The sequence below is a fragment of the Homo sapiens genome, chromosome 9, assembly GCF_000001405.40.
Source record: "Homo sapiens chromosome 9, GRCh38.p14 Primary Assembly".
Taxonomy (NCBI): domain Eukaryota; kingdom Metazoa; phylum Chordata; class Mammalia; order Primates; family Hominidae; genus Homo; species Homo sapiens.
Window position 1 is genome coordinate 138,004,924 of NC_000009.12, and position 27,214 is coordinate 138,032,137.

Sequence of the window (27,214 nt, forward strand, 5' to 3'; positions counted from 1 at the left end):
ACCACAGTGAGGTATCGTCTCACCCATTTGGGATGGCTATTATCAAAGACAAAATTAACAAATGCTGGCAAGGATATAGAGAGAAGGGAACTCTCTCACACTGTTGATGGGAATGTAAATTAGTCCAGCCACTCTGGGAAACAGTATGGAGGCTCCTTAAGAGGAGCCATACCACAAAAATCCCACTGCTGGGTGTTTATCCAAAGGAAAGGAAGTTGGAACATGAAGTGCTGCCTGCCTCCTCATGCTCATGGCAGCACTATTCACAGTAGCAAAGATAAGGGATCAGCCTAAGTGCTTGTCAACGGATGAAAGGATACAGAAAATATGGTGTATATATAACAGAACACTATTCAGCCACAAAAAGAATGAAATCCTGTCATTTGCAGCAACATGGATGGAAGTGGATGTCATTAAGTTAAGTGAAATAAGCCAGGCACAGAAAGAGAAACTTCACATGTTCTCACTCAGATGTGAGAGCAAAAAAGCTGATCTGGAGGTAGAGGTTAGAATGATGGCTACCAGAAGGTGGGAAGGCTGTAGGAAGAGGGGATGAAAAGAGGGTGGTTAAGGGGTACAAACACAGTTAGATAGAAGGAGCGAGTTCCTAGTGTTTGATAGCATGGTAGGGTGACTATAACTAACAACAATATATTGTCTATTTCAAAATAATCAGAAGAAAAGGTTTGAGATGTTCCCAACACAATGCTAAATGTTTGAGGTGATGGATATCCGAATACCCTATTTGATCATTGCGCATTGTATGCATGTATCAAAATACCACAAGTACCCTAAAATATGTACAAATACTATGTATCGATAAAAAGAATTAAAAAACGGCAGGGTGTGGCGGCTCACGCCTGTAATCCCAGCACTTTGGGAGGCCGAGGTGGGCGGATCACGAGGTCAGGAGATGGAGACCATCCTGGCTAATGCGGTGAAACCCCGTCTCTACTAAAAATACAAAAAATTAGCCGGGTGAGGTGGTGGGTGCCTGTAGTCCCAGCTACTTGGGAGGCTGAGGCAGGAGAATGGCGTGAACCTGGGAGACGGAGCTTGCAGTGAGCCGAGATTGCACCACTGCACTCCAGCCTGGATGACAGAGTAAGACTCCATGTCAAAAAAAAAAAAAAAAAAAGAAATTTAAAAACCCCCACAAATAAATAGAAAGTGAAAAAAGAAAAAAGACTTGGATCTGTGTCAGATCCCTGGTTGGAGTTGGTCACGGGGAGGGGGACCATTGCACATGGGGCAAAATTTCCATTTTGGGTGGGGGACACATGAGTGTTTATTATTTTATTTTCTTGTATGTTTCCAAAAATTAAAGTAGAAAAGAGACATGGCTACTAGGACAAGGGTTGCATTTAGCCAGGCTGTGAGGCTAGACCCACCAAGTGGAGTGGCAGGAACTGAGAGCATAAGGCTCTGCTTCTGCTGGGTGGCCGTGTGCAGCCCAGTCCCCTGTGAACCTCGGCTTCCTTGACTGCAGTGACGTGGATGGCGCTGTTTCGTCTCTCCATGCCTGATCTCACTGCTGCCCTCCTCGCCTCTGCCCACCTCCTTCTCCTGTTGGGAGCTCCCTTTTCATTTCTGGCTGAAAACCTAGAGTATGTTAGTCTTTTAAGACCCAGTTCTGCAGCCATGTCCTTCTGGAAGCTTTTCTGGAGGACCCTGGGATGCCCAGACCTTCGGAGACAGCATCATCTAAAGACCTGGATGTGCATGTGTGGACGTGGCAGTGCGCGTGGACGTGGCGGTGCACATGCACTCATGTGGGTGGGGGTGCGTGTGTGTGGGGAAGGCGGCCATGGGGGCTTGCCCTGTGTTCTCTCCATCCTGGCAGATCCTGACGGGAGAGGACTGGAATGCAGTGATGTATCACGGGATCGAATCGCAAGGCGGCGTCAGCAAAGGCATGTTCTCGTCCTTTTACTTCATTGTCCTGACACTGTTCGGAAACTGTATCCTTCTGTGGGGCTGGGGCAGAGGGTGGTCAGTGCTTGGCCCTCCTCTTCTCCATGGCCACCACGCGGATCCCTCCAGGAGGACTAGGGGCCGTGGACGTGAGAGGTGCATTCTCAGAGCTGAGTGCAGATGGAGAACATTCTGCAGGTGGCCGGAGCGCAGGGCTCTGGAGGCTTTGGGACTCAGCTTGAGGGAGCATGAGCTGCTGCGTGTGGGGGTATCCAGAGGTGGGGGTGGGTGCGGCCAGCAGCAGGCCCAGGACAGACTCTGAGCAGCAGTCGGGGAGCCTCACACTCTGGGCAGGTGGGTTTTTGTTTTCACTTTGATTTAATTGTGTACTTAGGTTTTGGCACTGGGCTTTAAAAAGGAGCCCTTCCCCCTGCTGATACCATCCCCTTTGCAGAGAAATGTAAGGAAAGGTTTTCTGTGGAGGATGTCAGTTGGGCTGTTTCAGGACCTTGAGTCAGAGGGTGAGTCTGTGGGGTCAGAGCGAGCCCAGCCGCCGGTGGTGAGCTCTGCCCTAGCAAGGGACCATGATAGGGACAGGGCTGTGGCCAAGGAAGATCTGGAGGGAGAACTACAGCATTCGTGGTATAGGCAAGGGTGAGGGCTATGACAGGCAGTGTGAGTGGGTCCCCCTGTAGCTGGGGTGGGAAGTTCAGGCCTAGAAGTGTCTTTGGTTCTCAAACTCATCTGGGCATCACAGTCCCCTGAGGGATGGTAAGCCTGGATTCCAGCCCTAGCCCAGGGTGTCAGAGGCAGTGGGGCTGGGCTGGGGCCTGAGAATGTGCATTCTCACAGGCTGCAGGGGGAGCCCGTGTTTCTGTTCTGGGGACCCCACTTTGAGAACTGCTGTGACAGAACACCCCACAGGGCCCCGAGGAGCTGGAGACAATGTCTCACAGTCGACCTCCCGGCTCTGCTTCTACCCCGAACTTCTCACACACGATGGCCACTCCACCCCGTCTGTCTGTCCTCGTCTCTGCCTCACTGGTGCCGGTGCCCTCAGTGCCCTTGCAGACTTCACCTTCTTTCCTGTCTCCATCTCCCTGGCTCCTCATTCCTTGCTCCACCTCTCCTAGGCTGGCCCAGCAGGGGCTCCCTCTCTCAGTCTTGTTAGTCACGGGGTGGTCCTTAGGCTGCAGCTCAGGGCCTGGTCCCCAGAGTGGGGGATCCAGCCTTCCTGGGAAGTTGAGTGTGTGTGAGCCTAGGAGGGGCTCCAGAGAGCCTGAGGGGGCAGTGTCTGCTTTGGAGATGGGTGGCCCTGGGGCTGGCACCGGAGGCACCAAAGAAAGGCAGCCCCGGTTGTCAGAGAGGGACGGAAGCCTCAGACAGGACAGCGGTGTCCAGAAGGAGGTGCCTCTGCCTCAAGACAGAGCAGTGGCCAGTGGTTCACCACAGCTGAGTCTGACCCTGACACTGAGGCCAGGCATGCTGGCCACGAGCGTCCCCCTCCCTGTCCACTCAGCGTTAGTCCTGCTGGATCCCAAGGGGCATGGCCCTTGGTCCTGCTTTCTGGGCATGGAAAGGCCTCTGAGGTGTCAGTGGCTGTGGCTGGTGCCTGGAGGTGTCAGCCTGGCCTCAGTGTCCTGCCCTGTGGGCTCTGCTGGAGCTCTGCGTGGACTCACCTGTGAGGCTCTGGCCTGGGGTATGCGCTCCCTTGACCCCCAGGGAGGGGGCACCTGTCCAGCCAGAGAGGGACCTGACCTGCCAGGGTCACTGCTGTTGGCCTCATACAGAGCCAGCTGCTATTCGGCCTGGCAGAGGCCAGTACCACAGGGAGAGTGGCTGTAGCCTGGGCAGGGGTGAGTCGCAGGCCTGTGGTGAAACGGGCTGGATCACGTGGAGTGCAAGGTTCTAACGGGGGCAGCTTCCTCTCCCTACAGATGCTGTGGTGCATTTGGCAGCTTCTGAGTCACTTTTGGTTGTCAGCACTGATGGGGAGGGGCTGATGGCCTCAAGTGGACGGAGACCAAGGGTGCTGCCTGCCGTCCCATAGAGGATTGCCCAGCCCCAAATGCCAGCAGGGCCTGGGCTGAGAAACCTGGAGTGATAAAATGGCCAGGAGGGCACCCCCAATGGCCAGGGTCTGGAGGGGCAGACCCAAGTCACAGTCGGGGTCCTGACTATGTTTGTGGTGGTTCTGGGAAACTGTGCAGGGGCAGGGAGGTGAGAGTTCAGGAAAAGGCTGCTTCCAGTGATGGGTGAAGAGTTCCTTTTGCAAAGAAAAACACCGTGATGGGACAAGGACCTGGTCCCGCGAGCTTTGAGAAGGAGGCCGCACACCCCAGGCGGTGCCTGTGCCGGTACCTGTGGCAGGTGCTTCCCTTTGGGCCTTGGTTTCTTCATTTCTAAAAGGTGGGGCAGCACCTCACACTGGGTCCTGGGAGGTCAGTTGAGGCAAGGTGCAGTCCCAGGAACCAGATCATGCCATCTGCCGTCTCCACGGCCTGACGTGAGTCCTGCAATCTACGGAGCGGATGCCGCAAAGAAGAGGCCCCAGGACACCATGCGGGAAAAGGAAATGGAAAGGAGGGGAAGGTAGCACTAGGTGGCATCTGTGGGCCTAGGACTTGGGGCCCAGCATGTGCTGGCCACAGGTGGGTTTGCAAGCTCGTGGTTTGTCTGAGGTGGTCTCTGCTCACAGGACCCAGAAGGCAGTGGAGCCCCACCTGGAGCCTGTGGAGTAGGAGCTGTTTGTGGGGAGGCTTCTTGTGCTGGCCGGGGCTTGGGGAGTTGGGAGCACAGCAGGCAGACCATGGGCCCTCGTTAGGAGGCAGAGGCAGATGGCTCCAGCACAGCCTCTGAGCTTTGCTCCTGCACAGTCAGCCCGAAAGAGCTGGGTTGGGGGAAGAGGCTCAGGTGGGCATTAGGGGAGGCTGGGTGATGGGAGGCTGAGCAAAGGAGGGATTGGCAGAGAGGCTGGAGGTGAGGATGGAACAGGGGGCTGGAGGGCCTAGTGGCTGGGCTGGAGTGTGTCTGGGGATGGGGCCTTGGGGAGCTGGTAGGTGCCAAGGGAAGGAGGCTGGAGGCTGGTTGGGATCTGGGGAGATGGGGGAAGCTGCAGTGTGACTGGGGCCATGTGGGGCAGAGGTTCCCTTCCTCAGCTGGACCCAACCAGACACTCTGCTGAATGTCTTTCTGGCCATCGCTGTGGACAACCTGGCCAACGCCCAAGAGCTGACCAAGGTAGGTGGCGACAGGGAGGGACCGGTGTCAGCCCATGTCACTTGAATGTGGCCGCAGCCAGGAAGAGTCTGGGTCCTGGGTTAGGGCCTCGTGTCCAGGAGCGTTGCCTTGGGTCCTGGCGGGCAGAGGCTGGTCTGTCACTCAGGGGCTGGAGGCTGGAGCTGAGGATGCAGGGAGAGCCAAAGCCCCGAAGGCAGATGGACAGGCAGGCTCTCAGGGAAGCCAGCACAGGGAAGAATGGCCTGAACGGCAGGGTGTGCTGGGAGCAGGAGGGGCCTGAGCAGGAGGAGCAGCTGGTGGCCCTATCCCAGCACAGCTGTGCCACAGTGGGACAGCTGCTGCTTCAGGCAGTGCTCAGCGGGTGCCATTTTAATATTCATCTCATCCCTGAGCCTGGTGGGGGATGCAATTGTACATGTCTCCCTCTGTGATATCCCTCCGGATGACACAGTCCCCTCCTGGTCATGCTCTCCCCAGCCCTGGACACTTGTAGTGTGGCCACCTGCCATCTCAGTCGCAGGCTTGTGTGTTGACTCAAGCCCTAGCTCCTAGTAGAGGTGGTGCTGCCTTCTGGTTTGGTGTGAACCACGCTGCAAACGTCCCACGTGCATGCTCTGCACATCAGTGTGTACCTGTGTGTCACCATGTATGTGTCACTGTGTGCCCTCTTCTGCCTGTGCACCATCCCTGGACAGGTGTCTGCATGCACCTGTGCATGTCTAGGGGTCTGACACAGTTCTGTCACTCCAGTCCAGTGTCTCTCCATGCCTTCCCTGTTCCGGGGCTGAGAGAGGCAGGTTCAGGATTTCTGTCCATGGGCAGCAGAGATGCAGGTGTGCCACAGAGCTTCTCCAAGAGTGAGTGCTGTGCAGGTGCCCCTGCTCCCCCCAGCCGAGCTCTCCAGGAGGGGGGTGTGGTCCATGCGGTGTGCCAGCTGCAGCCTGAGCCTCCCTTTGCTTCTGCTCAGCCTTCTTACTCCCACGCCTCCAGACCTGGGCCATGGCCATGCCTATGCCTAGGGGCCCGGATTCCTCCCTGGCGCTCTGGTTTCTGGCTTCTCTCTGTTCCTGTCTTCAGCTGGGCCGCTTGGGTTGGGGGAGCCCAAGCCCCCACAGAGCTCTCCTTGGTGCCGGGGTTGCCTTGGAGCCCGGGGCCCTAGCTGTCCTGGGTGGGCTGCACTGGAGCGCTGGGGCCCCACTGTCTCTTTAAGTTCTGTCATGAAGGAAGATGCATGGAGGAAGCCATGTCCTTGGGGCCCTGTGTCCACATACATGTACCCTCATTGGTGGCCCCCCTTTTGTGTAACTGGCCTCATTTAGGAATTTCTTCTCTGAGGATCGGGGCCACTGGGGGCCTGTCTGTGTCTGGCTGTGGGCATTTTTCTGGGCTGACCAAGAGCCGCAAAGTTTATGACTCGACCATCCCCTTCCCTTATATTCCCATAATATTCCCACAAAAGCATTACAGCACTATGTACCTTTTGAAGCGAGGATAAACTTGAATTTGTTTTAGACCTTCCAGGGGACTTTAGAACACTCCCTGGAGTGACTGGCAAAGTCCCTGCCCCAGAGGGTGGGAAGCTGGATGCAGCCGGATCTGCGAGGAGGGACCTGGGTGTGGGTGTTTCACGCTGGGTCTGGCTTTGCCTCCTCTCTGGGCTTGAAGTTCGAAGGTCTCTCCTCTGTGGAGGGAAATTCGCAGGCAGCTAACAAGGGACTTAGTTTCTGCCAGCGTTGCGCCCCGAATGCAGATTCAAGGACATTTTAGGGAACACTGGGAATGCTGGCTCCCAGGGGAGCCAGGTGGGTCTGGGCTTCAGGATTTTGAGGAAACAGTGGTGGCCCCAGCAGTCCAGATGGACAACGTGGAAGTCGTAGCTTCCATTCTGAGGCCTGTGGTCTCAGCCGAGAACTATTGATCCGGAACCCAGGTGCCGAGCATGTTGGTCTTGTTTAGTGACTTAGGGTCAGGGCCAGAGGGGGCAGAGGAAACTGCACCTGCCTGCACATGTGCACATGCCCAGCCCTGAGGGCAGGAGCCATGTGAAGTTCAGGGCCAGGCACTGCAAGTGGTCACCCAGGAGTGGGGGAGACAGGGAGAGGCTTCTGACAGCCACAGCTGGGGAAATGGGGACAGACATGGTCTGCTGGCTCCAGGCAGAAAAGCTCAAAGATGGTGCGTGGCCCCACTGGACACCCTCCTGGTGGCAGTGCTTGTGGGCAGTGCTGGGTCAGGACTTAGCCACAGGTGCAGAGCCTCTTGCCCTTGCTCTTGGCTTTGTTAAAGTGTGACAGATGCTCCTGGGGGGACAGGTGGGACAAAAGGAGGGACAGATTTGCATTTCAGTGGGCAAGTTTGAGGTGCCATGGTACAGACAAGCTGAAGGCCAGGCATGGTAGCTAACACCTGTACTCCCAGCACTTTGGGAGGCCGAGGTGGGAGGATCACTTGAGCCTAGGAATTCAAGAAAAATTAAATTAAAAAAATTTAGCCAGTCGTGATGACACGTGCTTGGAGTCCCAGCTGCATGGGAGGCTGAGGTTAGAGGATCACTTAAGCCTGGGAGGTCGAGGCTGCAGTGAGCTGAGATTGAGCCACTGCCCTCCAGCTTGGGTGACAGAGCGAGACCCTGTCTCTAAAAAAAAAAAAAACAAATAACAAAAAACAAAACAAACAAATGGAAATATCCAGGCAGTGGCTGGGTACCTGGGTTAGAGCTCAGAGTAAGGTCAGGATAGCACAGAGGTGAGGCCGTCGCCTCCAGGGAGACGGCACAAGCAAGAGGGCACTGAGGAAGGAATCCTAGTGACCATTACCTTTGAGTCACAGACACAGAAGGGAAGGCCCTGGAGAGCACCAGAGACAGCTCCTGTGGAACAGGTCGTGGGGGGCCACATTCACTCAGGGGTTGGCTGCCTGTCTCCACTGGATAGAGAGCAGCACTGTGTATTTTTTGAGGCCCCTGGAGGAAGAGCTGATGTTATATATAGCCAGTGTTAGAGTGGCTATAACACTGTGAGGGGAACTGGACATTTCTCTTTGCTCAAACAGGATGAAGAGGAGATGGAAGAAGCAGCCAATCAGAAGCTTGCTCTGCAAAAGGCCAAAGAAGTGGCTGAAGTCAGCCCCATGTCTGCCGCGAACATCTCCATCGCCGCGTAAGGCTCCTAGGAGTGGATTGTGGGGTGGCAGTGGGGCTGCTGCAGGGTCCCATGGCTGGGCCCTCCCCAGGGCACCCCTTCCAGAGGCTTCCTCAGAGGGCCTCTGGCCTTGGCGGGTGAGGACACAGCCCCTCCTCGGAACTGGGATGAGAGCCTGGGGGCTCCAGGGCTTTTTCTCAGTATGAGCAGGGCCAGGGTGTGGCCAGGCACAGCCCTCACATTGTGGCTGGGATTGTCTCTGCTGTGATATTCACTCCCTGGATAGCCTCAGGGTGGCTCCAGGCCCCTCCCCAGGCAACTGTGAATCAGTTGGGGGAGGGAGTCAGTAAGTTGCTTTTATGCACAGCTTTTCAGAAATTTATTTTATGAGCCAAGAGATTCTAGGTGATACCTGAGCAGTCTGAGAGACTTACTGCAGTTTCCAAAAATGTCTCTGCAAGTGTTTGGTACTGGGACAGATGTTAGAGGAAGTTATTCTGGCGAAAACTGCGTATTCCATAGAACCATATTTGGAGGTGTTAGGGGCTTTAGAGTTTGGGCAAAGTGTCCAGCCCAGGGCCAAAGGCTGCACTGAGCCGAGCTGTGGGGAGGTCAGTCCCTGGGAAGGGAGGCAGGAAAGTCTGGCCCATGGCCTGGTCACAGGGTGGGCCACAAGAGTGCAGAGATGCCCTTACTGGGAGCTTGTTCTCTAGGCCCAGCTGAATTTAGCTCTGGAGCCACTAGCTCCGTCTGGCTGCATGCCCACCCCCCACACCTCCCATTCCCCATGCTGATGGGCGGGCCCCAGCTCTTCAGCCGGCCACCCGCCCTGCCGTGAACACGGAACACAGGGCCGGGTGCAGCCACAGGTGCATCTGTAGTGACGTGTGTCTGCACTTCTGTGTAAGCATGTTGGCATGTGGATGAGTGTGCTAGGTATGTGTGTGTGATGTGTGTCTGCACTGCTGGGTAAGCATGCTGGCATGTGGATGAGTGTGCTAGGTGTGTGTGTGTGCACTTGAGAGTTGCACAGTGAGCATGTGTGTGAGTGCATGTGCTGAGTGTGTGCACCCCCATACCAGCCCTGATCCTGCCTGGAGGGCACCAGGAAGATGGTGTTTGCGGAGGGCCTGTCTCTAAGCCTAGCAGAAAGTGCTGGTCTTTGGGGCAGAAGCAGCTAGAAGAGGCTGCAGCCCGCCGGGGACTCAGGCAGGGATGGGAGGGGCCTGCAGGGGAACTTGGCAGCTGTGGACACGGTGGCCATCACGCAGAAGACTGCTGGGGGCTCAGTCCTCAGTTGTTTAATTTCGATCTTTCATTGTCTTGGCCAATTCGGTTATTTGGTTCATTAGTTATTTAGTCCACTTAGTTTGGTTACTTGGTCCAGGGGTTTGCTACCAGGGCTCTGTGAGCTCTGCAGGTGGGTGGTCTGCAGTAGATGGGGCGAGTGGTGTGTTCAGCTCCTGGCCTCGCGCAGGCCTCGTGTTGTTCTCCTGAAGACTTGCCTTCTCTGCTGTTCCTGGAGGCGAGCACTTGTCCCTTGACCCCTGCTGCCTGCCGGCCCTGCCTCCTCCTGGGGGTATGGGAGGGTGTCCACTCCCATCTGGCCTGAGACCTTGCAGAAGAGGCTGCCAGGTCCCTGGCAGTCATGGAGCCTGAGTCAGGCTGCCTGAAAAGGAGGCTGGACACTCTTCCTTATCTGCTGCCCTGTCCTGGTTTGGAGACACTGCTATGCAGGAACAAGGCAGTAGACTGGCATCCTTGGGCACAGTGTACATCGACACCACCTGTTGGCCTGAGCACCATGCTGATTCCTACGCGAGGAAAGAGCTTCTTTTTTCCCGGGGGACCCCTAGGTGTTCTGCCTCACGGTGGGTCTGGAGCCAGGTGTCAGCTCCAGTGCCAGCATCCTCAACTCAAGCAGGCTGCAGCCCTCACACGTGGCAAGGGGCAGCCGGCCCAAGCCAGCCCGAGGCGTCCAGGTGTCAGCCCCCATGGTCCCTGCCTGCGGTGCAGCTGTGGGCCCTCATCCTCTGTGGCATGTCCTCAGCCCACTGGTTTGGACATGACAGCCAGTCTGATTTCCGCCACAAGAGACCCTGCAGGAATCAACCTTGAGGGGTTTCCCTCAAGGAGGGCCCTGCACCTGGCGAGGCCTGGCCCTGCTGCTGCTGTTTGCGTGCCTGTGTTGTGCTGAGACCTCCGAGGGCTGAAAGCTGTCTGTCATCTGTCCTCGTCTGCTTCCTGTTCTCCTGGTGGGACGAGCAGCGCTGCCTCCTGCCCTGCTCTCATTTCCAGCACCTTGAGCTGCTGGGCTGTGCGAGAGCAGTGCCCTTGAGTACCCTTCACCCTTCTGCCCCCAACAGCTGTGCTGCGTGGCCTGCGGAGCGGGGCCAATGCCGGGCTTGGTGCCCTGGGTGCTGGGAGGACTTGGGGTGTCCTTGGTGTTTGAGAGGTTCTCAGTGATGCTCTGTTTGGCTTGACACAGACGGTGCCAGAACATGCCTCAGAAGGGCACCCTAGCGTGTCGCATGCAGTGCTGTGCGTATCCTGGGCCTCAGGTGACAGCTGCTTGAAGGGACACTAAGGTGGGCCTCAGGTGACACTGCTTAAAGGGACATGTCTTCCTGGTTCTCTGCTGGGTCAGCCTCATCCTCACATGAATTTCTGAACACTGGCAGCCTGCAGAGTCACACTGACACTCACACACACACACATACTCACAAATACATATAGGCAAGCACACACACAGGCACACAGACTCACATACACACTTATACACAAGTACACACAGACACACAGTCACAGAAGCACACACAGAATCATACACACAGACTCACACAGACACACACACACAGACCCACCCTCACAACACTCACAATCTCACACATTCAGTTATAATCATCCCACACTGTCAATCACATACACACATAATCTCACACATTCACACACAGTCTCACACACACAGTGTCACACTCACACACCCTCTCACACACATGCCTGTTTGAAGCCAGAGCCTGTGGGCAAGTAAGCTGGTTTGACTGCCCACAAAGGCACAGAGAGCTTGGCCTTGAGAAGGAGGGGCTGCAGCCCACCTGGCCCTCCCCTGGGAAGTTAATTGGAGGGAAATGGCTGTAAAGGGAGCTTTGGTTTCTTTCTGTTGGTTTTAGAAAAGCCTTTGAAAGTCACTTGGAAATGGCTGGAGCTGCATCCAAAAGGAAGGTGGGTTGGCGTGTGGCTTGATTTGCCCTGGAGGTGTCCTGGTGGCCCAGAGGCGCCTGGGTTGCAGCCTGGGGAGCCCTGGGGCTGGAACCAGAGTGGGGTCCAGGTGCTTGCCGGGAAGTCAGGTGGGTTCGGCAGCAGGGACCAGGCGGCATCTCCGGAAAGGGCACCCTCGCCTCCTTTGTTAGCCTACGCTGCCCCATCTCGAGGGCCGGGAGACGGTGCGGTCAGCCTCCCGCCGCAGGGTGCGGGGGCACCCTCGCCTCCTTTGTTAGTCTATGCTGCCCCATCTTGAGGGCCGGGAGACCGTGCAGTCAGCCTCCCGCCGCAGGGTGCAGGGGGCTGTTTGGAACTGCAGGAAAATCGGTGTTGGGTCTTCCCAGCCGCACTGCCTGTCCTGGGCAGTGTGTGCTGAGTGATGGATGGGCCCCCGAGCTAATGGCTTCTGTCTTCCAGGCATTACAGGGTTTGCTGTCTCACTTCAGTCTCACTTTTCTGCATGTGTGGAATTGGTTCTCAACTTCTCTTTCACCCTGAGGTCTCGGCTGGTGCCCGTCTGACGGACGCGTCTGCGGCCTCCTGTCCAGATGCACATGGCAGCCTGCGCCTACACTGGCGTGGCTCTCAGTGTCACTGGTTCTCTCAGAACTCTGTCTCTGGTTTTCTCACTTCTGTCTGTTCTGTTTTTTGCATGTGCAGTTTTGTAAAGCAAGCTCGAGGTACTGTATCTCGCAGCTCATCTGTCTCCAGCGTGAACTCACCGTGAGTCGCTCTGCTACGATATTCCATCCATGGCTTCATGATAACTACATGCAGACACCTTCCTTCCACTCCTAACTCTGCTATCTCACCGCAAGTCATTTGCTTCATGGGGCAGCTCCAGGCCGGGCTTCTGTGGCCTGAGCGGGGAATGGTGGGCTTGCTCCCTGATGTCCCCAAGTCCTGCCACGGGGTCAGACCCTCTGCGCTCAGCGCCTCCTCCTTTCCCTCCTGGTCTCTGTCTTTTTGTCTGCTGCCTGTTGTGTCCGCTCACTCCGGTGTCTCGAGTGTGTCTGCTTCTCCTGAGTGGACTGGGCGTCATGGGTTCAGGTCTCCTTGTGGTTCCCATGAGGTCAGGGCCCTGTGAGCAGGCACAGCAGAGAGTGCTCTTTAGGGGCTCACTGGGGACGTTTATGGGTCCTCCTAGGCCCCTTACTTGGGAGGGACTGTGTCTGTGATTCTCAGGAAGTCCTTGTTCTAGCAAGAGCAGAGAGCTGTTGTCCACTTGGGAAGCTCACAGTAGACCACCCAGGGCCCAAGGCAGAGACACGGAAACTCCAGGGTGGCCCTCCAGGGAGTGACTGGCTGGCATCCCCTCGGGCAGCTTCTCATGGGGAAGTGCTCATGGATGGCTGGTCCGCAGGGGCTTCCCCTGGAGGGCAAGGCCAGGCCCTGCAGGTGAGGGGTCCCTGAAGTGGTCAGGTGCAGTTAGGCCACCTGCCCTGATGGAAGTGGCCAGGTGCAGTTAGGCCACCTGCCCTGATGGAAGTGGCCAGGTGCAGTTAGGCCACCTGCCCTGATGGAAGTGGTCAGGTGCAGTTAGGCCACCTGCCCTGATGGAAGTGGCCAGGTGCAGTTAGGCCACCTGCCCTGATGGAAGTGGCCAGGTGCAGTTAGGCCACCTGCCCTGATGGAAGTGGCCAGGTGCAGTTAGGCCACCTGCCCTGATGGAAGTGGCCAGGTGCAGTTAGGCCACCTGCCCTGATGGAAGTGGCCAGGTGCAGTTAGGCCACCTGCCCTGATGGAAGTGGCCAGGTGCAGTTAGGCCACCTGCCCTGATGGAAGTGGCCAGGTGCAGTTAGGCCACCTGCCCTGATGGAAGTGGCCAGGTGCAGTTAGGCCACCTGCCCTGATGGAAGTGGCCAGGTGCAGTTAGGCCACCTGCCCTGATGGAAGTGGCCAGGTGCAGTTAGGCCACCTGCCCTGATGGAAGTGGCCAGGTGCAGTTAGGCCACCTGCCCTGATGGAAGTGGCCAGGTGCAGTTAGGCCACCTGCCCTGATGGAAGTGGCCAGGTGCAGTTAGGCCACCTGCCCTGATGGAAGTGGCCAGGTGCAGTTAGGCCACCTGCCCTGATGGAAGTGGCCAGGTGCAGTTAGGCCACCTGCCCTGATGGAAGTGGCCAGGTGCAGTTAGGCCACCTGCCCTGATGGAAGTGGCCAGGTGCAGTTAGGCCACCTGCCCTGATGGAAGTGGCCAGGTGCAGTTAGGCCACCTGCCCTGATGGAAGTGGCCAGGTGCAGTTAGGCCACCTGCCCTGATGGAAGTGGCCAGGTGCAGTTAGGCCACCTGCCCTGATGGAAGTGGCCAGGTGCAGTTAGGCCACCTGCCCTGATGGAAGTGGCCAGGTGCAGTTAGGCCACCTGCCCTGATGGAAGTGGCCAGGTGCAGTTAGGCCACCTGCCCTGATGGAAGTGGCCAGGTGCAGTTAGGCCACCTGCCCTGATGGAAGTGGCCAGGTGCAGTTAGGCCACCTGCCCTGATGGAAGTGGCCAGGTGCAGTTAGGCCACCTGCCCTGATGGAAGTGGCCAGGTGCAGTTAGGCCACCTGCCCTGATGGAAGTGGCCAGGTGCAGTTAGGCCACCTGCCCTGATGGAAGTGGCCAGGTGCAGTTAGGCCACCTGCCCTGATGGAAGTGGCCAGGTGCAGTTAGGCCACCTGCCCTGATGGAAGTGGCCAGGTGCAGTTAGGCCACCTGCCCTGATGGAAGTGGCCAGGTGCAGTTAGGCCACCTGCCCTGATGGAAGTGGCCAGGTGCAGTTAGGCCACCTGCCCTGATGGAAGTGGCCAGGTGCAGTTAGGCCACCTGCCCTGATGGAAGTGGCCAGGTGCAGTTAGGCCACCTGCCCTGATGGAAGTGGCCAGGTGCAGTTAGGCCACCTGCCCTGATGGAAGTGGCCAGGTGCAGTTAGGCCACCTGCCCTGATGGAAGTGGCCAGGTGCAGTTAGGCCACCTGCCCTGATGGAAGTGGCCAGGTGCAGTTAGGCCACCTGCCCTGATGGAAGTGGCCAGGTGCAGTTAGGCCACCTGCCCTGATGGAAGTGGCCAGGTGCAGTTAGGCCACCTGCCCTGATGGAAGTGGCCAGGTGCAGTTAGGCCACCTGCCCTGATGGAAGTGGCCAGGTGTCCTGTCCCTGTCCTAGTGGTGGTGAGGCCCCTGCCGCCCCCGCCCTGCCCAGTGCTTCCTTGCTGGCAGCCAGCATGGAGCTGGGCTCAGTCTTTCCACGAGCACTGTTTGCTGCTGGCTGTCAGAGGCACTGATGTCTCCTGGGGCAAGAAAGCATGCTGGATCCTGCATCCATCCGCGGGGTGGAATAAGATGTAAGATGCAGATGGTGGCCGGGCGCGCTGGCTCACACCTGTAATCTAGCACTTTGGGAGGCTGAGGTGGGCGGATTCCCTGAGCTCAGGAGTTCGAGACCAGCCTGGGCAACATGGTGAAACCCTGTCTCTACTAAATACAAAAAATTAGCCGTGAGTGGTGGCGGGCGCCTGTAGTCCCAGCTACTCGGTAGGCTGAGGCAGGAGAATTGCTTGAACCCGGGAGGCAGAGGTTGCAGTGAGCCGTGATCACACCACTGCACTCCAGCCTGGGCGACACAGCGAGACTCTGTCTCCCAAAAAAAAAAAAAAAAAAAAATGCAGATGGCAGGTATCCATGGTGTCACACCAGGGCTGCTTCATATTGTCAGCAGTTCCGGGTTGTCTGAGCCCAGAGACCTCAAAGCAGGGCCACAGAGCGCCTTGAGGCCACTTCCAAGTCCTGTAGTTCCCCACAGCACCCAGCTGAGCATGGCTGAGCCCTCCTCCCTGGAACAGCTGGGTTGTGCCTACCAGCTGAGGCCAGGACACAGGGGTGCCAGTCGTCCATGTGACTTCCTTAAAGAACCCTTTTAAACCAGGACTTTGCCTGGATTAATCACCAGCCACACTTCACTCTAAGTTGGTGTGGATATGTGCCAGATAGAGCAAGGACAGAGACAGGGGCCAGGGGAGGTGCAGGCTGACTTAAGACACCATGCAGAGAGGCCCGGCACGCAGATTCAGAGACCTAGGGGATACCTCCAGAGAGGAACTTGGTGGTGCTGGCCGAGTGAGGGCAGATGCAGACAGTCTCTGGTGACGTTAGGGCTGACAGTGGCAGATAGGCCCGGAAGGAACAGGCCAGGTGGAACCAGTGGGGCTGCGGGGGGCGGGCAGGTGCCCTAGCGTAGGCTGCTCAGCATGTTGCTCTGCCTGGGTGGTCACGGGGGAGCCTGCCAGCCTGACAGCGCCCTCAGCCCAGCAGACAGCCTGGCCTTTCCCTGCTCCAGGTGTTTCCTGGGCGAGAAGGAGCCACACCTGAATGCAAGGGTGAGGGCAGAGCTATATGGTCTGGAGCCCACCCCACCTTCACACAGACCCTGTGCCTCTGCATGTTCCCCATGGTCCTCACTGCCTGTCTTTTTGGAACTGCAATGCTGGTCCCCAAGATTCACGGCTTCATCAGAGCGGGCCACCCTGCTGACCAAGTGGCTCAGAGCCCAGGCCCCTCTCGGGCACTGGAGTGGACTGGGAGGCTTGAGGCAGTGAACAGCCTCCGCCCTCACAGGGCTCCTGTGCCTGGTGCAAGCCCCTGGGGCTGCCTTCTGTTTTACACCACTCAGCACTGTTGGCAGTAGAGCCCTTTTGTCTTGGTCCCAGCTGGGGTTGGTGGGTCTTCTGTGGGTCAGTTGTAGGGCACCCCTGGGAGCAGGGGCAGCACAGTTTAAATGCATCAGGGATACAGGTCAGGGCCTGGGGCTTCAACTGAGGCTGGGGGTCTGCAGACGGCCCCTACAGGTAGCCCTGCCTGCCCCCACCCCACCCAAGCTCCCAGGTGAGACACAGACACCACACTTCCGCTTTCATTCGTGCAAAGTGCTGCCCCTGGACATTGCTCCCACTGCAGCCTGGACTTCTACAAAGGGGCAGGATTTATTGTTCACCTGCCTGGGGTGGGCCGGCTGCAGGGACTGGGCTTTCCCACATCTGGCTGCTCTGTCTTTGCAGGTCAGAGTGGTGCTCAGCGGCTCAGGGCCCCGGAGCTGGTGGCCGCCGGCCTGGGCCTCTGCAGGCCGTGGTTGTAGCCTGTGTTGTTAGTGCAGTTGGGGTCTGGCCAAGGACTCGTGTCTTCTTTAGAAATGTTTTTCCTTTTTGCCCTTGCCTGTGTCTGATCCTGACTCACTGTGGGACCCTGAGCAAGTAACATCCTCTCTCTAGGCTCAGTATCTTCATCTGTGAAATGGGGACAAGAGTAGCACCTGATTCTTGAGGTGGTTGTAAGGACTGGATGAAGTGGGCACTGCGCCCAGAGCACCACGTGGCAGTTGCAGGACACAGATGCCATGGCCCTCATTGTTGGTGTAGTCACTGCTGCCGCCAAGGCCATCCAGCAGCCTTGGAGGCTCCAGGGCGGGCCTCTGGCCTCAGATGAGGTTTCTCCCTGGCGATGGTGGGGCTTAGTTTTGGGATAATAAGACCTTATCCAAAGGTGGTCTTACTCAGCAGAAGGCCCAGAATGCAAAGGGCTTCCTGTGCACTCTGGGCTATGGAGCCCCATGTGTGATGTGTGAATAGAGGAGGTGCTTGGGCCCATGACATTGGAGTAGGGGTCAAGGCCTTCGGTAGCCCATGCAGTGAGGGCCGAGCCTGGACCACTGGCCATCCCTGGTGCTGGAGGGCTCCGAGGACCATGTTCTGGCTCTGCTCCCAGTAGAGGGAGGGGCTCTCCATGGAGTCAAGAGAGAGGAGGGCATTGGTGGCCACGGGAGGTGGCATTTCCAGCTTCAGACCTGACTTCTGGGCTCCTGGTCACTGAGCCAGGGGGCAGCTGCGGGGCTGCGGCTGACCACCTCGGGGACTGGCAGAGGCTCTGCGTTTGCTCCTGAAAGGGCCAGGTGCTCCCTTGGCTGCTGTCTGCTCTGCCACAGCAACTGCCCTCTGGGTTCCCTGGCAAACAGCCTTTTCACCTGGCTGGTGGCCTGCCTCCTGGAGGCAGCGATGGGGAAGTGCCTCTGGAGAAGGGGCCGCGTGTCCCGCCCTTCCTGTAGCAGCTGTGCTGGTGCTGCAGCAGGGGCCAGCTCCCAGGGAGGCTACAGGGCCTCCCTGGCTCCTGCCTCTCCATCCGTCCTGCCCTTTGTAACATGCCCTTCCCTCCCGCGGTGGCCTTCCTGGCCAGCCGCCCACCCACCTGCTTGGCCTGTCTGGTGCATTCCCACTGTCCTGTACCCCTCGGCCTCCTTGAGCCCCCCAGGGTCCTCCTGACAGGCTGGTGCTTTCACCTTGCGGGTCCTGTGGGACACCGTGGGGGGGGGGGGCGGCGGGGCTGAATTCGGTTCCCTTGGGCGTTCCCCACCTGATCCGCGTCCCCCGAGGGGTGTGGGGGCTCCCGCGGCCACGCCTCCCACCTCCCTGCGCCATTACTCCATTGCTGTGTGTGCATTGTGGCCTCCCTGGAGAGCGGCGGGCGGGCGGCAGACGGGGCCGCGCTCACCGCCAGTCTCCCCGCAGCAGGCAGCAGAACTCGGCCAAGGCGCGCTCGGTGTGGGAGCAGCGGGCCAGCCAGCTACGGCTGCAGAACCTGCGGGCCAGCTGCGAGGCGCTGTACAGCGAGATGGACCCCGAGGAGCGGCTGCGCTTCGCCACTACGCGCCACCTGCGGCCCGACATGAAGACGCACCTGGACCGGCCGCTGGTGGTGGAGCTGGGCCGCGACGGCGCGCGGGGGCCCGTGGGAGGCAAAGCCCGACCTGAGGCTGCGGAGGCCCCCGAGGGCGTCGACCCTCCGCGCAGGCACCACCGGCACCGCGACAAGGACAAGACCCCCGCGGCGGGGGACCAGGACCGAGCAGAGGCCCCGAAGGCGGAGAGCGGGGAGCCCGGTGCCCGGGAGGAGCGGCCGCGGCCGCACCGCAGCCACAGCAAGGAGGCCGCGGGGCCCCCGGAGGCGCGGAGCGAGCGCGGCCGAGGCCCAGGCCCCGAGGGCGGCCGGCGGCACCACCGGCGCGGCTCCCCGGAGGAGGCGGCCGAGCGGGAGCCCCGACGCCACCGCGCGCACCGGCACCAGGATCCGAGCAAGGAGTGCGCCGGCGCCAAGGGCGAGCGGCGCGCGCGGCACCGCGGCGGCCCCCGAGCGGGGCCCCGGGAGGCGGAGAGCGGGGAGGAGCCGGCGCGGCGGCACCGGGCCCGGCACAAGGCGCAGCCTGCTCACGAGGCTGTGGAGAAGGAGACCACGGAGAAGGAGGCCACGGAGAAGGAGGCTGAGATAGTGGAAGCCGACAAGGAAAAGGAGCTCCGGAACCACCAGCCCCGGTGAGTCCGCGGCTGGGCGGGGTCAGGGAGGGAAGGGTTGGCCGGGGCGGCGCGGGCCCCAGCGGTGGCTGCGGCCATGGGGTCCACGGCGGAGGCTGCAGCCCCGGCCACGCTGCCATGTCCAGAGCCGTCGGGGCTGGGGTCTCTGCATGCCGTTCACGTGGGGTGGTGACAATCCTGCCTTGCAGGGTTGACCTGTAAAAGGCTTGGCAGGGCGTGTATGCTCCGTAAAAGGCTTGGCAGAGTGTTTGTGCTCCGTGAATGCCAGCCGTTATTTAAGAAGGGAGGGCTTAAGGGGGAATTGTTGCGACTGGCTTGGAAAGAACAAAGTGGCCCTGGGAGAAGAGAAAGTTGGGGATTGCAGTGGAGGAAGGAGAGGCAGAAGGGCCCAAGGGAAGCCTGAGCAGGCCAGTGGGCTGGGCGCAGAGCGGGGTGTGGGGGCCAGGCTGTGTGACCATGACAGAAAGAACCCCAGCTAGCCCAGCTTGCTCCCTGGGGCAGGACTCACCAACCCCGTGAGGGCCTGGGGTAACAGTGGTCCAGTGGCCAAGACCAGCAGTCGCCAGGTACCCACTGGCCACAAACCAACCAGAATACTTGCCGCTGGAGGCCCCAGCCCAGGGTCAACCCAGCCGCCGCCCTGTCTTTGTGTGTGGGTGGGTCAGCCCCATCCCTGCCTTTCGGACTAAAGACACGGAGGTGTATAGAGTAATTTAAAAAACGTACAGAAGGCCAGAGTAGCAGAGCAGGTGGTTATGGATTTAGTTGGTCTGCATGGAGGCTTAAGGGTTTTGGTTGATAGGATTTTGCTGATGTGCATTATTATTATTATTATTGGAGACAGGACCGCACTGTCGCCCAGGGTGGAGTGCAGTGGCGCAATCATGGCTCACTGCAGCCTCAACTTCCCGGGCTGAAGCGATCCTCCCACCTCAGCCTTCCCAGCCTGAATAGCTGGGACTACATGCACGTGTCACCACGCCCAGCTAATTTTTTAATTTTTGTAGAGATGGGGTTTCGCCATATTCCCCAGGCTGGTCTTGAACTCCTGGGCTCAAGTGATCCTCCTGCCTCTGCCTCCCGGTGCCGGGATCACAGGTGTGAGCCACTGCGCCGAGGCCTGATGTACATTCTTGATTGCAGGGAGCCACACTGTGACCTGGAGACCAGTGGGACTGTGACTGTGGGTCCCATGCACACACTGCCCAGCACCTGTCTCCAGAAGGTGGAGGAACAGCCAGAGGATGCAGACAATCAGCGGAACGTCACTCGCATGGGCAGTCAGCCCCCAGACCCGAACACTATTGTACATATCCCAGTGATGCTGACGGGCCCTCTTGGGGAAGCCACGGTCGTTCCCAGTGAGTATCTCCCTGTGCCAGTGGGGCAGGGCCCATCTTGTGCAGGTCCAGCAACCCCCATTCCCTCCTGCTCCACAGCAGCCACTGGGGACCCAGCCTACCTCTGTGAATTGTTCTCCTGGCTGGAGAGAGAGTCCTTTGCTGTCAACATCTGTCCCTTGATGTCCTGTTGATTTCTAGTGCCCCAGAGATAACTGAGGTTGAGCTCCATTCTCCTTCCTTCCCAAAATATTTGCACGTTGCCAACTAAGTGCCAGGTGCTGTGTTAGAGTGCTGAGAGCATAGTAGGAGGGAGACAGTCTTGTCAGGAAGACAGACCACAAAACAGGCACAACTCTTGATGGTTGCACAAAAGCTGCTGGCTGAGGACTCTGTCCACGGCCTTGACTGGGGCTGAGAGCGAGGGGCTGCAGAGGAGGAGGCTCTCCACTGCGTCTGCCCATTTGTTCATGGGCCTGTGCCATCCCTGCTCTGAGGCTGTGCTCCCAGGCCTTTATTTGAGCTGCCTTCTTTCCTCCCCTTGCTCACTCACATGCTCGGAACAGCCTTTCCATGCCTGCCTGTGTGCAGTCCCTGAGGGCACAGGGGACCAAGATGTCATTCCTGTCTTGAAACCTGTCTAATAGGGAGAGATCTGCTGGTTACAAATACAGGCCCCTTACGTGGTGGGGAAGGTGCATGGGCGTTTCATGGGCATCAAGGAGGAGCCCTCCTTTCTTAAGTACAGAGAAAAAAGGGGTAGAAGAGAGGCCATAGAAACAGGACTCACATGAATGCCAGCAGAAGCATTTAGGTCTTAAGCAGACCAGACGGACTCAATCAGGTGCCACCACATGCATGCCCATGTTTGCAGACGGATCTCCACACACAGATGTGTGCATGTCCGTGTTTGCAGATGCATCCGCACACACAGACGTGTGCGTGCCCATGTTTGCAGACAGATCTCCAGACACACACATGTGCATGACATTCTCTCTTGCTCAGGTGCTCTCACCTGGGGCCTGTGGACTGGCGCACAATTCCAGGTATAACCATGGAAGACACAGCCTCTAACTGCTCAGCCTCCCCTTTTCCTTTGCTTCCTTGGAGGAAAGTTGCCCTTGGTTCATTTTCTTGTTCACTTCCCATGGGCACAAGTGAGTCTGCCTGCCCAGCTCCCTCACCTGATTCTCTGTGGATCAGCTTGAGGATGAGCCTAGGTTCCCTACCTGGCTTTTATCTGCAGGAATCCAGATGTGACTCCTCCCCAGGCTCCCTATGCTCTTCCCCACACCCCTGTTGGCAACCACTGATTTTTTCACTGTCCCTATAGTTTTGCCTTTTCTAGACTGTCATAGGGTTGGAATCATACAGTATGCAGCCTTTTCAGATTGGCTTCTTTCCATTAGCAATATGCACTTAAGTTTCCTTTGTGTCTTTTTGTGGCTTGACAGCTCATTTGTTTTAAGCGTTGGATTAATAGTCTGTCTTTTGGGCATACCACAGTTTATTTATTCACCTATTGAAGGACATCTTGTTGCTTCCAATTTTTGGCAATTATGAATAAAACTGCTTTAAACATTCATGTTCAGGTTTTTGTGTGGACATAAGTTTTCAACTCATTTGGGTAAATACTTAATAGCATGCTTATTGGATTATATGGTAAGACTGTTTATCTTTATAAGAAACTGACAAACTATCTTCCAAAGGGACTGTACCATTTTGCATTCCCACCAGCAATGAATGAGAGTTCCTGTTGCTCCACATCCTTGCCAATATTCAGTGTTGTCAGTGTTTTGGATTTGAGTTATTCTAATTAAGCGTGTAATGATATCTTGTTTATTTTGCAATTTCCTAATGACATATGACGTTGAGCATCTTTTAATGTGCTTATTTGCCATGTGTATAATTTTCTTTGATGAGATTCCTATTCAAATCTTTTACCCACTTTTTATTCTGGCTGTTTGTTTTCTAGTTGTTGAGTTTTAGGAGTTCTTTGTATATTTTGGATACAAGTCTTTCATCAGATATGTGTTTTTGCAAGCATTTTCTCCCATTTTGTGGCTTGGTTTTTCATTCTCTTAATGTCTGGTGTTTTCGATTGCTAAAAACAACTGATTGTCTGGTCCCTATTATTACTTCTACTAGAAACAGAAATCTAGGCTATTAGTTTTTATATGTTGATTATGTATCCTGCTACTTTTCTGAATCCTCAAATTGTTTATTAGTTTCACTGATTCCCCCTTTTTTTCCGAGATATATTATCAAAACTTCTGCAAATATACTTCTAACTCTTTCTAAGTCTTACACCACTCATTATTATTTTTTTGTCTGATTTCACTATCAGATAACAATGGAATTACTGGGCATTACCTTGTTTCCGCCTACATTAAATAAAATTTTGGTTTGGGGCCTGAGGGATGTGTGTGTGTGTCTGTTTGTGTGTGTGTAAAATTATGTTGTGGTATCCATTAGTTCCTACTTCAGTAAGTGTTTTTATCTGGAATAGATGTTGAATTTTCTTGAAGACCTTTTCAGCATCCATAGAGATCATATATTTTTTTCTCCTTAGATATGGGGATTTATAGTAATGAATTTTTTGATATGAAATATCTTTGCAATCTTAGAATAAATCCAAGTGGTTATTATATTTATTTTGTAATATGCCATTGGATTCTCTTTAACATTTTTTGTAGGATTTTTGGATTGATATTTTTAAGCGAGATGTGTTCTGTAGCTTTCTTTTGTCACATTTGAGGATCATAAGGTTTAAATATCAATGACATAGAGTTATCTATTGCTTAACTTCACAGCTCCATTCCTGAAAATCAAATGTTCTAAAAGAGGGTCTCATTTCCACTCCCCCCCAACCTTTTTTTTTTTTTTTTTTTTTTTTTTTTGAGACTGAGCCTTGCTCTGTCACCCTGGCTGGAGTGCAGTGGCACGGTCTCGGCTCTGCCTCCCAGGTTCAAGCAATTCTCCTTCCTCAGCCTCTCGAGTAGCTGGGATTACAGGCGCCCACCACCACACCTGGCTAATTTTTGTATTTTTAGTAGAGATAGGGTTTCGCCGTGTTGGCCAGGCTGATCTTAAACTCCTGACCTCAAGTGATCCACCTGTCTTGGCCTCCCGAAGTGCTGGGATTACAGGCGTGAGCCACCGTGCCTGGCCCCATTATTTTAAATGGTAAAACATTATAATGTGTTATGTGTCCGCTAAAAATTCCTAACCGATTTTGTAAAATATAAAGCACAGATAAACAATGAAAACTAATAAACAGTCATAATAGAACATAAAATGCTTCACATATTGTTTCCTGATTACCAGTTAAAATAGCTAGTAATAAGCAATTGCTTTAGATACCTCCTTTATTGAAACTTGTACTTTTCAAAAACATCCATACGATTCCCATAACTTACTGTGAACAAAAGTTCTCTGAAAAGGAGTTTGGAGGAAACAGGCTTTATTCTAGTGAATAGTTTGCAAACCAGGAAGATGCAGCCTTCCTTGTAAAATGAAGGCGCATTCCAGAGGAGAAAGAGAAGTTTTGACATTTCCTGCCCAGGTGCTTAATCAAGTCCCTTTATGCAAATGAAGGATTCAGACTTGCTTGGTCTGATTGGTTGACACAGCTGAGTTCTGATTGGTCCATATAGCTGAGCTCTGATTGGCTGAGGCAAGTGAACTCTGATTGGTTGGTTCAGGTGAGCTCTAAAAGTTCCCAGAGTTAAAAAGGTGTGGGTTTTCTGGGACCTCTATTCAGCATATGGCTGCTTCTCTCTGACTTAAATGTAGGCTCAGTTAGCCACTTGGGATCCATCTTGAAGGATTAGCTCTTTCAGGTTTCTTCACACAACCAACTGAATTTGGAATCCTGCCTGAGAGTTGTTCCCCACATTATTTTGTTAAAAACATTATATTGACTTTTGGGCATGTATACTTTTTTTTAACATAAATGTCAGCCAGAAAAGTCAACAACACTGTAATGAAAGATATATATGTTTTCCAGAAGCATGGGCATTATAAAACTTGGCAGTGCTCTATTGGGAAATACTATCCAAGGATATATTCTGTAGGATATTCCCGTTATTGGTTCATAAAAATAATTAGAATGTCTTCTTGTGCTCAAGGGTAGCTCATGTAGTATAGGAATTATGTGGTCTTTAAATATTTGATAGAATTATCTTGTGAAATTGTTGATGTCTGGTCTCTTTTTGTAGGACAGTTCCTTTGTAATACCCCTTTTTTTGTATGGATGTTGGTCTGCTTAAACATTGTTGCCTCTTGAGATGAGTTTGGTAAATTATATTTTCCTTAGAAATTATCCATTTGATCTAGGTTTTCCCACTTACTTACATAGCCTTAAGAGTGGCTTAAAGTTTTAAAAATTTCCCTCTGTTTCAGTGTTTTTCCTCCTTGTCATTTCTGATCCTGTGTTTTTTTGTGTTTTTCTTTTCCTTTTTTTTTTTTTTTTTTCCAGACAGGGTCTCGCTCTGTCGCCCAGGCTGGAGTGCAGTGGTGCCATCTCGGCTCACTGCAACCACCATCTCCCGGGTTCAAAGTGATTCTCGTTCAAAGTGATTCCTGAGTAGCTGGGATTACAGGCACGCACCACCACACATGGCTAATTTTTTTGTATTTTTAATAGAGATGGGGTTTCACCATGTTGGCCAGGCTGGTTTCGAACTCCTGACCTCAAGTGATCTGCCTTTCTCAGCCTCCCGAAGTGTTGGGATTGCAGGTGTGAGCCACTGTGCCCAGCCCATTTTCATCAAATTTCAAAATTAACTATGTAATTTTGGCTTATATTTGTGCTAGGTGTGTGTTTGTAGATTCTTTGGGATTTTCCAGAGAGTATAAGGCATCTGCAAATGAACAGTTTTAGTTTTTTCCTTTCTGACATACATGCCTTTTATTTCCCTGTCTTCCCTTATTGCACTGTCTGTGACTTCCAGTACTATTTTGAATAGCTGTGGCAAGAACTGACATCTTTCCTGGAGGGAGGATTTTGTCTTTCATCATTTAGTATGATATTAGCTGTAAGGTTTTTGGGTTTGTTTGGTTGTTTTTTGTTTTGTTTTGTTTTTTGGTAGATGTTCTTTATCAAGTTGAGAAAGTTCCCGTTCATTGCTTTTTTTTTTAAAGAATTTTTGTGGTGAGTGGATGAATATTGTCAAATGATTTTCTGCATCAATTGATATTATCGTGTGTGTTTTTTCTGTTATATGGTATTTTATATTGATTTATTTTCAAATATTAAACTGGCCTTTATCATTATGAATAACCCTACTGGTGTATAATTATTTCTCTATGTTGCTGAATTCTATTTGCTAATATTTTGTTAAGGAGTTTTGCGTCTGTATTCATGAGGGATGTTGCTCTGTAGTTTTATTTTTTGTGCTGTCTCTGTCTGGTTTTGGTATCAGAGTAATATTGGATTCATAAAATGTTTTGAATTGAATGGATTGTCCCTCTTCTATTTTCTAGAGGAGATTATGTTGAACTGATATTAATTCTCCTTTAAATGTTTGGGAAATTTTGCCAATGAAGCATTTCTTTTTTGGAATTTTTAAATTACAAATATAATTTCCTTAATAGATACAGTGTTATCTATTTCATATTGGATGAGTTGTAGTAGTTTGTGCTTTATGAGGAATTAGTCCCTTTTATTTAAGTGTATACAGTTGTTTGTGATGTTTCCTTATTATCCCTTTGATGTCTGCATAATCTGTAGTGGTAACTTGTGTCTCATTTCTTATATTGGTAATTTGCTGTCTTCTCTCTTTTTTCTTTGTGAGTCTTACGAGGAGTTTGTATAATTTTATTGATGTTTTCAAAGAACCAAATTATTGTTACATTGATTTTCCCTATTATTTTTCTGTTTTCAATTTCTTTTGATTTCTGCTGTTTATTATTTCCTTCTTTCTGTTTGCTTTGGGCTTCTTTTGCTCTTCTTTTCTAGTTTCTTGGGGTAGGAGCTTAGATTGTTGATTTGAGTCTTTCCTTCTTTTCTGCTGCAAACATTTAGCTCTGTAAGTTTCCCTCTTGGCAGCTGCATTCCACAGGTTTTCATATTGTATATTTTTTCAGTCCCGTTTAAAAAATTTCCTTTGAGAAGACTCATGGACTGTTTAGAAGTGTGTTGTTTAGTTTCCAAACATTTGGAGATTTGCCTATTTCTCTGTTATTAACTTCTAGTTTGATTACTTTATGGTCAGAGAACATGTTCTGTATTATTTCAGTTCTTTTAAGTTTGTTAAGGTTCGTGGCCCAGGATGTGGGATATCTTGATGTATGTTCTGTGAGCCTTTGAAGGGAACATGCATTCTGTGTTGTTGATGTGCATTCCTATAAGCATTGTTTAGATCCTGTTGGTTGATGATGTTATTGAGTATCTTTGTCTACATTCGGATTTTCTGTCTAGATATGTCAATTGTTGAGAAAAGGATATTCAGTCTCCAGCTGTAAATGTGGATTTATCTTTGCTCCTTTCAGTACTGTAAGTTTTTGCGTCATGTGTTTGCAGTTCTGTTTTTGGGCACATACACATTTAGGATTTCTATGTCTTTTTGGTGGACTGGCCCTTTAATTGTTGTGTAACGTCCTTCTCTGTACCTGGTAATCTTCTTTGCTCTGCAGTCTACTTTATCTTATGTAGATATGTTCAGTCCTGCCTTCTTTTGATTAATATGTGCATGGTATATATTTTTTCAACCTTTTGCTTTCAACCTAACTATATAGTTATATTTGAAGTAAATTTCTTGTAGATAGTATTCATGTTTTCAATCCACTCTGTCAATTCTGTCTTTTATTTTGCATATTTAGATTGTTTACACTTAGCATAATTATTGATATATTAGGGCTTAAGTCTGTTATTTTATTTCTTATTTTGTTTTTCTCTTTCTGTTTTTCATTTCTCTGGTTTCCTTTTTCTCCCTTCCTGTGGGTTACTTGAATGTACTTTAGAATTCCTTTTATCTGTAGTA

The 27,214-nt window shown here is 53.5% G+C and overlaps 1 protein-coding gene across 2 annotated transcripts in view, besides 2 other annotated features; it reads left to right on the forward strand.

Annotated features, from left to right (window-relative positions):
* The window catches only part of CACNA1B (calcium voltage-gated channel subunit alpha1 B), a 246,838-nt gene that overhangs the window by 127,142 nt on the left and 92,482 nt on the right, over positions 1-27,214 (forward strand). For both annotated transcript variants that reach the window (NM_000718.4, NM_001243812.2), the window contains exons 16-20: positions 1,844-1,961; positions 5,087-5,154; positions 8,206-8,312; positions 18,088-18,888; positions 20,032-20,249. In NM_000718.4, coding sequence (NP_000709.1) covers positions 1,844-1,961; positions 5,087-5,154; positions 8,206-8,312; positions 18,088-18,888; positions 20,032-20,249 — 1,312 coding nt within the window. The remainder of the gene's footprint in view (positions 1-1,843; positions 1,962-5,086; positions 5,155-8,205; positions 8,313-18,087; positions 18,889-20,031; positions 20,250-27,214) is intronic.
* Positions 1,628-2,264: an enhancer, noted in NCBI's record as "H3K4me1 hESC enhancer chr9:140901003-140901639 (GRCh37/hg19 assembly coordinates)". NCBI's record gives its function as "activates a minimal SCP1, AML or CMV promoter by ChIP-STARR-seq in naive H9 embryonic stem cells {active_cell/tissue: H9 hESC(naive)}" and the evidence as "EXISTENCE:reporter gene assay evidence [ECO:0000049][PMID:30033119]".
* Positions 8,290-8,534: a recombination feature, noted in NCBI's record as "recombination_hotspot; EGL096 recombination distal breakpoint sub-region, recombines with the EGL096 recombination proximal breakpoint sub-region within the 9q34.3 QSOX2 distal recombination region, resulting in an interstitial deletion". NCBI's record gives the evidence for it as "EXISTENCE:DNA microarray evidence [ECO:0005524][PMID:21729882]".